General features: G+C 39.0%; 1 protein-coding gene and 1 pseudogene across 24 annotated transcripts in view; one reads left to right on the plus strand and one right to left on the minus strand.

The window, feature by feature from the left end:
* Positions 1-14,715, plus strand: part of LRRC28 (leucine rich repeat containing 28) — a 139,249-nt gene that overhangs the window by 31,690 nt on the left and 92,844 nt on the right. For 23 of the 24 annotated variants that reach the window (NR_135755.2, NR_135759.2, NR_135757.2 and 20 more), the window contains 2 exons: positions 4,087-4,124; positions 4,644-4,781. Coding sequence is in view for 14 of the 24 variants with exons in the window: in NM_001321675.2 (NP_001308604.1) it covers positions 4,087-4,124; positions 4,644-4,781 (176 nt within the window). In the remaining 10 variants the exon portion in view is untranslated. Of the gene's footprint in view, positions 1-2,597; positions 2,615-4,086; positions 4,125-4,643; positions 4,782-14,715 lie in introns of all 24 variants that reach the window. The other variant, XM_047432150.1, reaches the window with a different exon arrangement.
* HNRNPA1P62 (heterogeneous nuclear ribonucleoprotein A1 pseudogene 62) lies at positions 1,255-2,462 on the minus strand (annotated as a pseudogene).

Consider the following 14,715-nt stretch of genomic DNA (forward strand, 5'->3'; position numbering starts at 1 on the left):
GCGTGAGCCACCACACCCAAACTAAAAATTATTTTTTAAAACTTTTTTTATTTTGGAACAATTTTATATTTATAGAAAAGTTATAAACATAGTATGGGTCATACTGGTGTACCCCTTACCCAGTTTGTCCTGTTGTTAACATCTTAGAATTCCATGGTACAGGCCAGGCATGGTGGCTCATGCCTGTAATCCCAGCACTTTGGGAGGCCGAGGTGGGTGGATCACGAGGTCAGGAGTTTGAGACCAGCTGGACCAACATGCTGAAACCCCATCTCTACTGAAAATACAAAAAAAAATTAGCCGGGTGTGGTGGTGCGCACCTGTAATCCCAGCTACTCAGGAGGCTGAGGCAGGAGAATCACTTGTACCCAGGAGGCAGAGGTTGCAGTGAGCAGAGATCGAGCCACGGCACTCTAGCCTGGACGACAGAGGGAGACTCCTTCTCAAAAAAAAAAAAAAAAAAAAGGAATTCCATGGTACATTTGTCAAAACTAAGAAACTGACTCTGGAATATTCCTATTAAGTAAACATCATATTTAACATTTAAAAAAAACTGCCAAGCCATTTTCCAAAATGAGTATACCCCAAAGTGACATTCCCCACCAACAATGAATGAGAGTTCCTGCATTATTTGAGAAGAGGAACATTTTATTTTAATAAGAACATTGAAACATCAACATTTCAACTACTCTGAAATTACCAAAATTAAGTAAAAGGAAGTGACTTAAATTTGAAAGTCCTAAGCCTGTGATTACAAATGACTCATAATAACTATAATAACAATAATAAGAGCATTCATTTAACTCTTACCAGGAGCCAAGCACTGTTCTAAGAGCTTTACATTTATTAATTCATTTAGTCCCTGCAACATCACAGATTAGGAGAGAGAGCAGTTCAGTGATTTCTCCATAGTCACATGGCTATTAAGGTGCAGGTAGTGTGGCTTCAGAGCCCGCTCTCTGATCCACTTTACCAGTAATGGTTCTTAATCGGTTGTACATCAGGATTATTTGAGTTGAGATGGTGTTTCACTTGCTGCAGGATGGTTTTGGGTACCAATAAGACCCCTGGTGATTCTAATGTGCAGTCAGGATTGGCAACACTCTGTTATCTTTTTTTAAAGATACATTTATTCAGCGTCATGATCACACTACTATATTTAGCAATCAACAGCATGAGTGCAAAAAAAAAAATCTACATTAAAACCCTTTGTTGGACTGCTTTACACTTTCCACAGAACAGAAACTAAAATAATACAGTTATTCACAAATACAGTCCTCGAGTTTTTTGCCCATATACATGAGTATTTGTCTAAACCATGTCTTCTTTGTAGCAGGTAGGCCCTGCCACCACTGTGCTTGGCTGAGTTCACAAAACTGTTGTAACCTGTAGCTTCCCTGTCACTTCTCTTGCTCTCCTTTCCTGCTAAGCTTTGTTTCCTGGCAGTAATTAAAATCTTCTGACACTGCCATAGCTGCTGCTGCTACTGGAACTGGCATAGCCACTTTGGTTTCATGGTTTGGCCAAGTATTGGACTCCACCCCCATAGGAGCCAGAGCTTCTGCCACCATTGTCCTCCCTTCATGGGTTCAAAATTTGAAGACTGACTATTGCAATTGTCAAAATCATTGTAGCTTCCACCACTTCCAGAATTGCTTCCATCATTACCAAATCCATTGTAGCCATCCCCACTGCCACCATATCTACCATCACCATGGCTGCCACCAAACCCATCATGACTGCTGAAGTTTCCTCCACGACCAAAGTTGTCATTCCCATCAAAACCACCTCCACGACCACCATCAAAATTTCCAGAATCACTTCAGCCTCTTTGGCTGGATGAAGCACTAGCCATCTCTTGGCTTTGATGGGGCTTTCCTGACTTCACAGTTGTGGCCATTCACATTATGGTATTTCTGAGTGACAGTCTTATCCACGAAGTCATGGTCATCAAAGGTTACAAAATCAAAGCCCCTTTTCTTGTCACTGCCTCAGTCAGTCATGATTTCAATCACTTCAATTTTTCCATACTGTTCAAAATAATCTTAGGTAATGTTCTTCAGTGTCTTCTTTAATGTCATCAACAAATATCTTTTTCACAGTTAAGTAGGCACCTGGTCTTTGAGAATCTTCTCTTGAGACAGCTGTCTTTAGTCCCACAACTCTTCTGTCCACCTTGTGTGGCTTTGCATTCATGGCTGCATCCACCTCCTCCGCAGTGGTATAGTGACAAACCCAAAGCCCCTGGCGTGCTTGGTGTTGGGATCTCCCATGACCACACAGTCCGTGAGCGTTCCCCATTGCTCAGAGTGACTCCTCAGGCTCTCATCGGTTGTTTCAAAGCTCAGGCCTCCAATGAAGAGCTTCCTCAGCTGTTCGGGCTCTTTAGGAGACTGACTTAGACTTGACGGCAGGGGGAGGAGAGACTTTAACGATGCTTCCTCAGCAGCATCCATGGGCAGCCACTGTGTACTATTTCATACAGCATCTTGATTATATGTAGATAATATTTTAAAGTCTGTTTGAAAAATTCTAATCATAATAGTGGGTACTTTAGTTCATATTTTGATTTGGACATTTTAACGTCTTTTTTATAGGTGGAACTTGAATTGAGGCAAGTATTTTGTTGAAAAAAATTTTTTTAATCAGTTCTCTATTTTGATTTAGGTATTCCTTCCTAAAATTAATGTTTAAAGAGTATTGATTTCATATACAGAAAGCAAGGAATGAAATGTATCATAGAGTAAATGGTGGGCTTATTTAAATTGTGTTATACCCAGCAGGTTAGTTAACCTTCTACAAAATTGATTTAATTCAACATAAAATAATCTTCATAAAATTATCAATTTTCTGTCTTATTTTGTGTTTATTGACATTTTAATATTCAATATTAGACTTTAAGAATGCAGAAGAAAACTTCTGAATTCTATTTAAAAGTACTTTATAAATTTTTTGTTTGTTTGTTTGTTTTTGTTTTTGAGACGGAGTCTCACTCTGTTGCCCAGGCTGGAGTGCAGTGGCACAATCGCGGCTCACTGCAACCTCCGCCTCCCAGGTTCAAGCAGTTCTCCTGCCTCAGTCTCCCAAGTAGCTGGGACTACAGATGCACGCCACCACGCCTGGCTAATTTTTTTGTATTTTAGTAGAGATGGGGTTTCACCTTGTTGCTCAGGCTGGTCGCGAACTCCTGAGGTCAGGCAATCCGCCCTCCTTGCCTCCCAAAGTGCTGGGATTACAGGCGTGAGCCACCGCGCCCGGCCATAAAGATTTATTTTTAAAGTACAATAAATAAAACCATAGGTTTTTACTAAAATCTTGTTCTCTTGTCTCTAAATCAATGATATAAATTTATTTTCTTAAATTATTGTTGTGTGATCTCCAGCATTCACTTGTTTTGCTCTGAATAGTTGGTTACTGATTGCAGGAAGTCTCCACCAGAGTGTGCTAAAGACACTGTAGTGGGAAAATTGTTACTTAGGCTTGTCTAGACTTCTCAGCCTCTGTGAAAAAGATTTTTTAAGAGAAGCATTTGATTTCTTGTTACAAAATTTCTTTTGCCATGAAATAAATTCTGTACCTCGACAGTTGAGTATTTCTACAGACACTGTAAATGATATTTAATCTGTTGTTGGTTCTCCGTATGCATGCTAGCTAGAAATATCTTTATTTTGTGAAGTTATTTTTTAGAAACGAAAAGTTCATCTTCCTTTACACAATAGGTGTTGATTTTTCTTCACACAGTAAGTATATTTTTTAAAGCCTGAATAAAATGAACTGGAAAAACTAGTAATTTGTGTTATGAAGTTAAAAAGACCTTATAGTTTATCCATTATGTATGCTTTTATTTTAAAATAACAACTAAATCAGTAAATAGATTTAATATTTGCAATTCTGGTACAAAATATTTTTCTCAAAGTATTATTAGTTAGCTGTGATAACCATTATTGTATGTTGATGCATTAGAGTAGGGTGCAAAAGTTGTGGCCTATTTATATTTGATAAATTTCTAAGTGAGCATTTTATAAACTGATTATCTGGCAAAAGTACTTAATGATAATGGCTGTTTTTTTTCTTTTTCCTTCCTAGATACCTGCACTCAAATAACATAGTTGTGGTTCCGGAAGGTATGTTTAACTTAAAAATTTTAGTTAGAAGATAATATAATTTAAGCTTTGCTTTATAAATAGATCAAATTTTATTTTTAAGACACCTTTAATTTTTTAGCTTCAAAACTTTTTTCTTCTAATAAGTCCAGTTAAGAACTATAATTAAATAAATCTAAAATGGTTATAATGGTTAGGTAAACTATTGTTGGATAAATTGCTATTAGGTAGATAATAAGTTGTAAATTTAATAAATCTAGTTAAGAATTCTGGTCAGATAAAAAAAGCCCTGTGTATCATTTCTTGATTTATTTTAGTCTTAATGTTTTTATTTGTGCTGTATTTTAAGTTATATTTTATCTTGAGCTGGAAGTATTTATCACTTTCATGAACTTAGTTTGATCTGTGTTTTTACTATTTTGTGAGCAACTGAGACAAGGAAATTAAGTAGTAAAATATTTTAACTTGGAATACTTGCTTTAAAGATTTGATGTAATACTTGAGTCAAATTCATTTTGCCTTCTCCTTTTCTCTTTGAAGCCATTGGGTCTCTTGTAAAACTCCAATGTCTGGATCTTAGTGACAATGCCTTAGAAATTGTTTGCCCAGAAATTGGTCGTCTGAGAGCTTTACGTCATCTTCGATTAGCTAATAACCAACTGCAATTCCTACCTCCAGGTAATCATAGTCTCTAGCACACTATAGTTTCTTGTCTATTATAAATCTGTATTCATATTTCTCACTCTATGTCTAGGCAATGAGCTGTAGATGTATTTATAAGTATTTGTCCATTTGTTTGAAGATGAAACTAAAGAATGGGTGAAATATTACTAAGAGTCTTTTTTGTGATGCAAATGTAAGAAGGTAGAATTTATATTTTAGATATAGCTACAATTACTACAATTGTGCATTGCATCCAATATCCCTTTGAATCACTGCTCTGGCAAAATATTTGTACAAAGAGTTACTTCAGTTCTGAATTTCACATAAGAGAATTTAGGTGAACTTTGCGTGATATAATCATTTTACTATCCAAAAGTCAAATGCATACAATGTTTTCTCTCTTACTCTCTAGTGAGGTAACTAATGTACATTAACTTTTTTTTTTTTTTTTTTTTTTTTTTTTTGAGATAGAGTCTTGCCCTGTCGTCAGGCTGGAGTGCAGTGGCACAATCTCAGCTCACTGTAATCTCTGCCTCCCAGGTTCAAGCGATTCTCCTGCCTCAGCCTCCTGAGTAGCTGAGATTACAGGCGCGTGCCACCACACCCAGCTAATTTTTGTATTTTTGGTAGAGATAGGGTTTCACCATGTTGCCCAGGGTGGTTTCAATCTCCTGACCTTGTGATCCACCTGCCTTGGCCTCCCAAAGTTCTGGGATTACAGGCATGAGCCACCGTGCCTGGTTGACTTTTTTTTTCTGTTTTTAACAGAGTCTCACTCTGTTGCCCAGGCTCTAGTGCAGTGGCGTGATCTCGGCTCACTGCAGCCTCCGCCTCCCGGGTTCAAGTGATTCCCATGCCTCAGCCTTCCAAGTAGCTTGGACTACAGGCACGTGAAGCCATGCCTGGCTAATTTTTGTATTTTTTGTAGAGACAGGGTTTTGCCATGTTGGCTAGGCTAGTCTCAAACTCCTGACGTCAAGTGATCCACCTGCCTCAGCCTCCCAAAGTGTTGGGATTATAGGTGTGAGCCACCATGCCTGACCTAGTATGTTAACTTTGATTTTAAAAGGAATCATACTAAAATTTAGTAGAACAATTTAAATTTGAGCCTTAGGATTTTCAGTTCTGCCTGATGAACATGTAAATAAATTATGAATGTGCCTTATAGATAGGCAGTACTAAAATCTTGCATTTTATTGAGAGCCACCATTAAACCCTTTGATTTCTTGGGAGGAGCATCCAGAGACCTTGCTTTGTGAATCCACGTATTAGCAAATTCCACTGTCATATATGGTTTCCTATATTAAAAAAAGATAGATAATTAAAAAATAAAAAACTTATGCTTCAGGTATTATATGAAAGTTACTGTGTATTCAAGAATGAGCAGAGAAAGATACAGATGTTAATTTGTCTGAGATTATTTTTACTCTTTTGAGTAAAACCAACTCGAGAACACCAACCAGCCTTTTAGTGTATCTAAGTGAAATATGTGACTCAAATAAAATTACAAATTACTACCTGTCATAGAACTTCAGGGTTGCAAGAGAATGTTAAAAATTATGCATGTTAAACCCATGAATGAAAAAATCTATGGTATTTCTTTGTTTTTTCAAGTACAGAAATGTCTAAATTAAAACATACTAATGGATTAATTTTTAGACTTTATGTTCTGGCCTTAATATATAGATTCAATACTGTGTATAAAAATGGCACCAGGCCGGGCGCGGTGGCTCACGCCTGTAATCCCAGCACTTTGGGAGGCCGAGGCGGGTGGATCATGAGGTCAGGAGATCGAGACCATCCTGGCTAACAAGGTGAAACCCCGTCTCTACTAAAAATACAAAAAATTAGCCGGGCGCGGTGGCGGGCGCCTGTAGTCCCAGCTACTCGGGAGGCTGAGGCAGGAGAATGGCGTGAACCCGGGAAGCGGAGCTTGCAGTGAGCCGAGATTGCGCCACTGCAGTCCGCAGTCCGGCCTGGGCGACAGAGCAAGACTCCGTCTCAAAAAAAAAAAAAAAAAAAAAAAATGGCACCAGTCAGGCTGGGCGCAGTGGATCACACCTGTAATCCCAGCACTTTGGGAGGCCGAGGTGGGTGGATCACCTGAGGTCAGGAGTTCGAGACCAGCCTGGCTAACATGGTGAAACCCCATCTCTGCTAAAAATACAAAAATTAGCCGGGTGTGGTGGCATTGTGCCTATAGTTTCAGCTACTTGGGAGGCTGAAACAGGAGAACTGCTTGAACCTGGGAGGCGGAGGTTGCAGTGAGCCGAGATTGCACCACTGCACTCCAGCCTGGGTGACAGAGTGAGACCCTGCCTCAAAAAAAAAAGAAAAAAAGAAAAAAATGGCACCAGTCAGCAGTGACTGTGTTTTAAAAAATATTTTTTTATTCTCATATAATGAATGTCTTATTTTTTCTAACTATAGTTAATATAAAAATTTTTGACACAATACAGGAATATGGTCTTTCCTTTATTGTATATCATCAGGCCAATGGTGTTTCATCATTCTAGCTTTCATCAAGTTTGTACATTCAGATACACAGAAAATGAGATACTCTTTTGAAGATTGCCTAGAAAATGTATCAGTAAAGATAATACTTTACATTTTCCTAACATTTTCCTATATGAAACTTACATAAGATATACAACCAAAATTCATGAATATAATGCTGTATTTATGAACTTTTTTTTACATACATTTAAAGAATATACAAAAAATACAATTCTGCCAGGCATGGTGGTTCACATCTGTAATCCCACCACTTTGGGAAGCTGAGGCGAGAGGATCAGGATCGCTTGAAGCCAGGAGTTCGAGACCAGCCAGGGCAACATAGTGAGGCTTTGTCTCTACTAAAATCCAACAATAAAAAAAAAAAATTAGCCGTGCATGGTGACACACACCTTAGTCCTAGCTGCTTGGGAGGCTGGGGCGGGAGAATCTCTTGAGCCCAGGATATCAAGGGCTGCAGTGAACTCTGATTGCAGTATTGCACTCCAGCCTGGACAGCGGAGTGAGACTCTGTCCCCAAACCCCCACAAAAAACAATTCTGTGATAAACCATTGTTCTGGGTGTTGTATTATTCTGTGTTTTCCTGTAATATAAAAACATGATGTGGTAGAATATAGTCATTGCCTTCCATTATATATTCTTAGAGGTTAAGGATGTACTTCTAATGTCATTGACTGCTTCTTAATAACCAGTGAAGGGTATATGTTTTGTGACTACTTTCACATAATTTATTTATATCTCACCTGTTACACAAGAAATTCGAGGCATATACTTGTGATTTTATTTTCCTAGGTTTGTTTCTATTTGTGTTTGGTTTTGCTTGTTTTGAGTAAAATTATATACCTTAATAGTTATACATTTTGGATAGGAACTTTTGATTGAGCCATGTATATAGGCTTTATTATTTCTTGCCACCATGAGTAGCACTTGACTGGGTCTTATGAATTATTTGATTCACTTTATGCATCTCATGAGGTGATTTCAGATGTTATGATTTAAGTCTGTAAGGGGCTAAGCACACGTCCCCTAAATGCTTGATTATGTTTGGAGACATACTATGGGAGGGTATTCTAAAGGTGGGAAAGAAATGTGAGGGCCTGTGATGTTATCCCCATTTGACCACAGTAGGCACCAGTTGATATCTGCTTAACAAACCCCTTCTCCATAGTCCATGCTGAGACTTGTCACATGTTATATTCTCTTAAAAGACTTAACATTTTACCATGTTTCTTTGTTGTCATTGAAAAGCCTTTGAATATAGTTTTGTAATTTTATATCCAATATTTAAAATTTGCCAGTTAGTTTTCAAAGTGGTTATGCCATTTTACACTGTTCTGTCAGCAATATATGAGAGGTGCAGTTACTCCACATTCTTGTCAACATTTGGTGTTGTCTGTTTGTTTAGCCATCATAGTGGGTGTGAAGTAGTATTGCATTTTTTTGAATTTTATTTAATTTGCATATCTCTCTTGACTGATGTTATTTAGCACCTTCTCATGTATTTATGGGCTATTCCAAATCTTTTTGAATTATAGGAGATATCTCCATGCTTTAAAGACCAGCTGCCAGCAGGTTCAGTTGCTGAGGAATTCTCTTTGCTCTCCAGTTTGGCTTCTGACTTTCTGTGCCTCGAGAGCTCTTTGAGTCCTGCTGCTCCATCCTTGGCCTGTAAAGGTTGACTGTCATTGCCCTGTACTCTGTGATGGTGGGTCTTGCCTGTGAGAAGTTTCTCTTGGCTTTTCTGTTACTGCCTATCCTCCAGGTTTTCCCTTGCTGGAAGCCTAGTGTACATTGAGGAGATTATCTCAGCTCTTTCTCTCTTTTCTTGCCCTCATTTTTGGTAAAGGTTGGTGGGACGGAGTGTGTGTGTGTCTGTGTTGAGCAGGGGGATTTATTAATCGTACAGTCTTTTTTTTTTTTTTTTGAAACGGAGTCTCGCTCTGTCGCCCAGGCCGGACTGCGGACTGCAGTGGTGCAATCTCGGCTCACTGCAAGCTCCGCTTCCCGGGTTCATGCCATTCTCCTGCCTCAGCCTCCCGAGTAGCTGGGACTACAGGCGCCCGCCACCGCGCCCGGCTAATTTTTTGTATTTTTAGTAGAGACGGGGTTTCACCTTGTTAGCCAGGATGGTCTCGATCTCCTGACCTCATGATCCACCCGCCTCGGCCTCCCAAAGTGCTGGGATTACAGGCGTGAGCCACCGCGCCCAGCCTCGTACAGTCTTTCTATACCTACGAATCCTCTGGGTTCTACACGGGTATGTCCACATATAGCTTTCAAAGTTAGACTGATTTTTCTTTAACCCTTGTCTGTGGCAGATTTCTTTTCCCACCTCTATTTCAGTCAGGGATGATAGCAGCCGAGGATCTCTTGTCTTTGAAAATGTGCTTCTCACTCTGGAGTTGATTTACATTTCCCTATGTCCTCAGTCTCTGATGGGTTTTTATTCAGCTTGTTTTAGTTGTTAGGGTGAGAGTGATGATCTCTTTGGAGTTTCTATTTTCAAATTGGAATTAAGTCCTCCTTCTTCCCAACTGACTTTCACCATTTGTTTCTGGTTCCTCTTTGCTTCCTTTCTGTTTCTGGATTACTTGAGTATGTTTTAGTGTTCTGCTTTATTTCCTCCATTGGCTTTTCTCTAGGGTTCACAATATCCTCCCTTAACTTACTACATTTAGAATATTGTGCCATTTCATACAAATTACATGCATTTTTATATTATTGTGCATATTTTACAACAGTATACTTCCTTTTACCCTCCTCCTTTTGTACTACTGTGTCATATATTTTATTTCAATGTATGCTGTAAACTCCATTAGATAATATTATTTTTGCAAGTCAGTTGTCTGTAAAATACTAAGGTTGGGTGCGGTGGCTCATGCCTGGAATCCCAACACTTTGGGAGGCCAAGGTGGGTGGATCACCTGAGGTTGGGAGTTCAAGACTAGCCTGACTAACATGGAGAAACCCCATCTCTACTAAAAATACAAAATTAGCCAGGCGTGGTGGCGCATGCCTGTAATCCCAGCTACTCAGGAGGCTGAGGCAGGAGAATCGCTTGAACACAGGAGGCAGAGGTTGTGGTGAGCCGAGATCATGCCGTTGCATTCCGGCCTGGGCAACAAGAACGAAACTCTGTCACAAAAAAAAAAAAAAAAAAAAAAAAAAAAAAAAAAAAAAAACCTAAACAATATTTACCTGAATATTCACCATTTCCTGTGCTTTCTATTCTTCTTTTCTTAAGAGACACAGTCTTGCTGTGTTGCCCAAGCTGATCTCAATCTCCTGGCCTCCTAAAGCACTGAGATTACTGGTGTGAGCCACTGCACCTGGCCATTTTTTCCTCTAGATTTAGTTTCCATCTGTCATTTCTCTTCAGCCTGAAGTATTTCCTTTAGTATTTGTTTTAGTGCAGTTCTACTGGCAGTGAACTATCTCAGTTTTTCTTTATGCAAAAATGTTATTTCATTTTCACTTTTGAAGAATATTTTCTCTGGAAATAAAATTCTGGATTGACAAGACTTTTTTCTTTGAGCACTTTAAGGAAGATCTTCCATTATTTCCTGGCCGCCATTGTTTCTGATGAGAAGTCAGCCATAATTTGTATCATTGTTACCCTGTATCCTTTTCTATGACTGCATTAAGATTTCTCTCTTTAATCTTTTATCTTTATCTTTGGTATTAGCAGTTTGTATATGATGTGTCTTGATACAGGATTTTTTATATTTACCCTTCTTGGGGTTTTCTTTATTCCCAAATTGGCAAGTTTCCTTTTATTAATTTTTCAAATATTTTTCTGTTCCACATTTCCTCTCTTTCTGGAACTCTGGTTACGCACATTAGATAATTTGGTATTCTTCTACAGGTCAGTGAACTTTGTTCTTCTTCTTTTTTTTTAATGTAATGTTTTTCTTGCCCTTATCTCAAGACTAGAAGTTATCTGTTGATCTGAGTTCTACTTACTGTTTGTTTTATGCTCTCCAGTGTGTTAGTTTTTATGCTCCTCTGTCTTAATCCATTCAGGCTGCTGTAAACAAATACCATAAATGGGGTAGCTTATAAACAACAGAAATGTATTGCTGAGTTCTGCAGGCTGGGAGTTCCAAGATCAAGGTGCCAGCAGATCTGGTGAGGGCTTATTTTCTGATTCATAGATGACACTTTTTCACTGTGTTCTCATGTGGTAGAATGGAGCAAGGCAGCTCTCTGAGGCATCTTTTGTAAGGGCACTAATTCCACTCATGAGCGTTTCACCCTTAGGACCTCCCAAAGGCCCCACCTCCTGAGACCATTGCATTGGTGACTAGGTTTCAACATATGAATTTAGAGGTGGGGACACAAACATTCAAATCATAGCACCGTCTTGACCTCCTTACAGCCTTTTCATCTTTGGTGCCCTGTCCTGCATCTTTCAGGTGCTTCACTTGCCCCCAACTCTGATCTATTCCTCTTCAGGTCTGCAGGACTCGAGCTCTGTTTAGGTTCCATTTCCCTGTGCCATGGCCCAAAATATGCCCCATGGCAGAAATTCAGGTCCAACATGGGGCTCGCCTCTTGTGTTCCCTAGATTTTAAGGATTGTAGTTCTGGGTCACCTGTCCATTGCTTGAAAACAATTGCTTCATATGTTTTTGAGTAGTTCATTGTGTTTTGGCGGGAGGCATGTCTGGTGTGAGTTACCCTGTCATGTCTGGAAGTGGAAGTCCTGTTAGATGTCCTTTGATTACTGATCCGATTGCTTCCCTGCCTTCTTTTATGTATGTGTTTTTGTTGCTGTTGCTGCTGCTGCTGCTGTTAAGCATGTACCACTTAAACATTTACGTATTGCTTTTCCCTACACCTGGCATCAAAACTATAACATTATTTGTCATAGAACATATTTAAACTAATTTTCTCCCAATGACATTTTGTAATTTGATTGTATAAAATTATGTAATCTATTATGAAGAGAATTACTGTGTACCTAGAAATAAAGGATTGTTGGGGAAAGGCTTCCATCAGTACAGGGCCCCTTTCTGATTAAACCTCGCTAAACATCACAAAGTCCAATGGATGTTTGAGGAGACAGAAAGAACAGCCAATCTTTAATACTCGAGAAATCTGATACCTTTGTGAGTTGCTGTAAACACTGAATTACCATGAGAGAAGGTTATAGTAACAAAGAAACAACAAAAAGTAACCAGCAGTCAGAAAAGATGTTGCTTACATCTGGCATATAAATCAGCCTATTTTTAAAAAATACTTTTATCCTTGAAAAGTTGTTTTGCATACCAAAAAAGGAAGGATTTTTAGCCCAAGTTAATAGCATGAATCTGTTGTGTTTTAATGGCTGAAAGTATGCACAGACAGAAATGTGTACCACATATAACCAGCATGTGTTGTTCCTAAAACCCAGGCTTCAAGTGTAGTCAAATTTATTACCATTTTTTTCTTAAAATTTACTTTTTCTCCAGTTGAACCTCTGTAGGTTTATTGGAATGAAATTTAGTATCCTTTCTTAGGTCTGTCCCATTGCCACCTGAATTGTTGTGAAACCTCTGTGTTTATTGATCTCATGTGGAGGTGAAGAGGAGTGGATCAGCCTTTTTCCTACAGAGGACATAAAAACAGCCAGAGCCTGGTCCTCTAGGGCTTCTGCTGTTGCTTACTACCCTGTTGTTGAGAGTGTATTGGCATAGGCTGCTGTTCTGCAGCACAGGCTGCAGTGATTTTTCAGAGGTGCTGATCCCACCTTGTAGTTACAAGCCTGGGCACAGATGCTCCATATTTGAATTCCCTGTGTTACAGTTTCTAGGAGTGACAGGTGGCCCAGGAACACTGGGTCAGCCCTGGTTTCCTCATCACTTCCATTGTGCCTACCTACTATGTGATCAGTTCAGAAGGAGAACAAAGCAGCTCTCATTTTGAATCCTCAAAACACGCAGTGTGTTATTGTGCCTCCTGTCCCCAGATATTCAAGGCTCTTCACCCCACGTTACCCTCCTTAGGCAAATACCATGGTAATTTTGGGTGATTTACTCTTCTGGGAGACTCAGCTTTTCACTGATTACACATCAGTCTGGTAAAATAACTAGCTAGCACTTCTCTCACTAAAAAAGAATCTAAAAAATTAATCTCTGGCAGAGCATCCTTCTGGTGTCACCAGGCTGTATATGTGTGGTCAGCAATATACGTAAATAGATTTTCTCTATTTTGTGGGGTTATCTGCATGACTGGAGGGGGGACTTGCTGTTTCATCTGCTTAACAAAATAGTATTTACTGCTGCAAAGTATGCCATGCTATGTGCTAGAGAAAGTGGGCACTAAGAAGGAAAACAAAATCTGGACCCAGACTTAAAGGGAGCTTATAATATTTTATTGTCTAATATTTAAACTGCATGTAGTACTTGCAAAGAAGGGATTAGACAGGAGAGAGAAGGAAGTATTGAGTGTGTTATTGTAGCTAGTGATTATCTTGGTACACAGTGCTGAGACTTGAAATACCCATTTTGACAACTAATGGGTAGAGGGACAAAATCTAACAATCTGCCTCAGCTTGCTAGATGACCACTGAATAAATTATCTGCCAGATACAAAAATAATTAGCCGGGTGTGGTGGTGGGCGCCTGTAATCCCAGCTATTCCGGAGGCTGAGGCAGGAGAATCGCCTGAACCCGGGAGGCAGAGGTTGCAGTGAGCCAAGATTGCACCATTGCACTCCAGCCTGGGCAACAAGAGCAAAACTCTGTCTCAAAAAAAAAAAAAAAAAAATATCTACCAGAGCCCTAAACTCGTATTCAGAACATGTTCTTTCAGTCACTTTATATTTTATTTTATTTTAGGGGCAGGATCTCACTCTGTCACCCAGGCTGGAGTGCAGTAATCGTAGCTCACTGCAGCCTTGACCTCCTGGGCTCAAGTCATCCTCCTGCCTCAGCCTCCTGAGTAGCTGGGACTATGGGCATGTACCACCATGCCTGGCTAATTTTCTTTAATTTTTTTTTTTTTTTTTTTGGTAGAGGTGGGGTCTTGCTATGTCACCCAGGCTGGTCTCAAACTCCTGGCCTCAAGTGATCCTCGTGCTTTGGCCTGCCTAAATGCTGGGTTAAAGGTGTGAGTCATCATGCCTGGCCCTCAATGACTTTCCTAGACCTAAAGTTACTTTATTATTAATTGTAACTTTGTAATGGATATAGTACTTTATTAGTAAAGTAACTTTATAGTATAATTAAATATACATATATTAATAACTTTATAATAACAGATTTTAAATTTAGATTTTTACATAAAATTGTGATATAATAGATAAAACATTTCTCAGAAAAATATTTTTACTATAGATAAACTATCAGCTATTGTAAAATCTTTTTACAAATGAAGCTAAGACTTTTCAATTTTATTTACAAACTTTTACAAGCTTTGAAAATTTGGCAAAACCTTAGGATAAAAATGACTG

This window comes from Homo sapiens, chromosome 15 (assembly GCF_000001405.40).
Source record: "Homo sapiens chromosome 15, GRCh38.p14 Primary Assembly".
Lineage (NCBI taxonomy): Eukaryota > Metazoa > Chordata > Mammalia > Primates > Hominidae > Homo > Homo sapiens.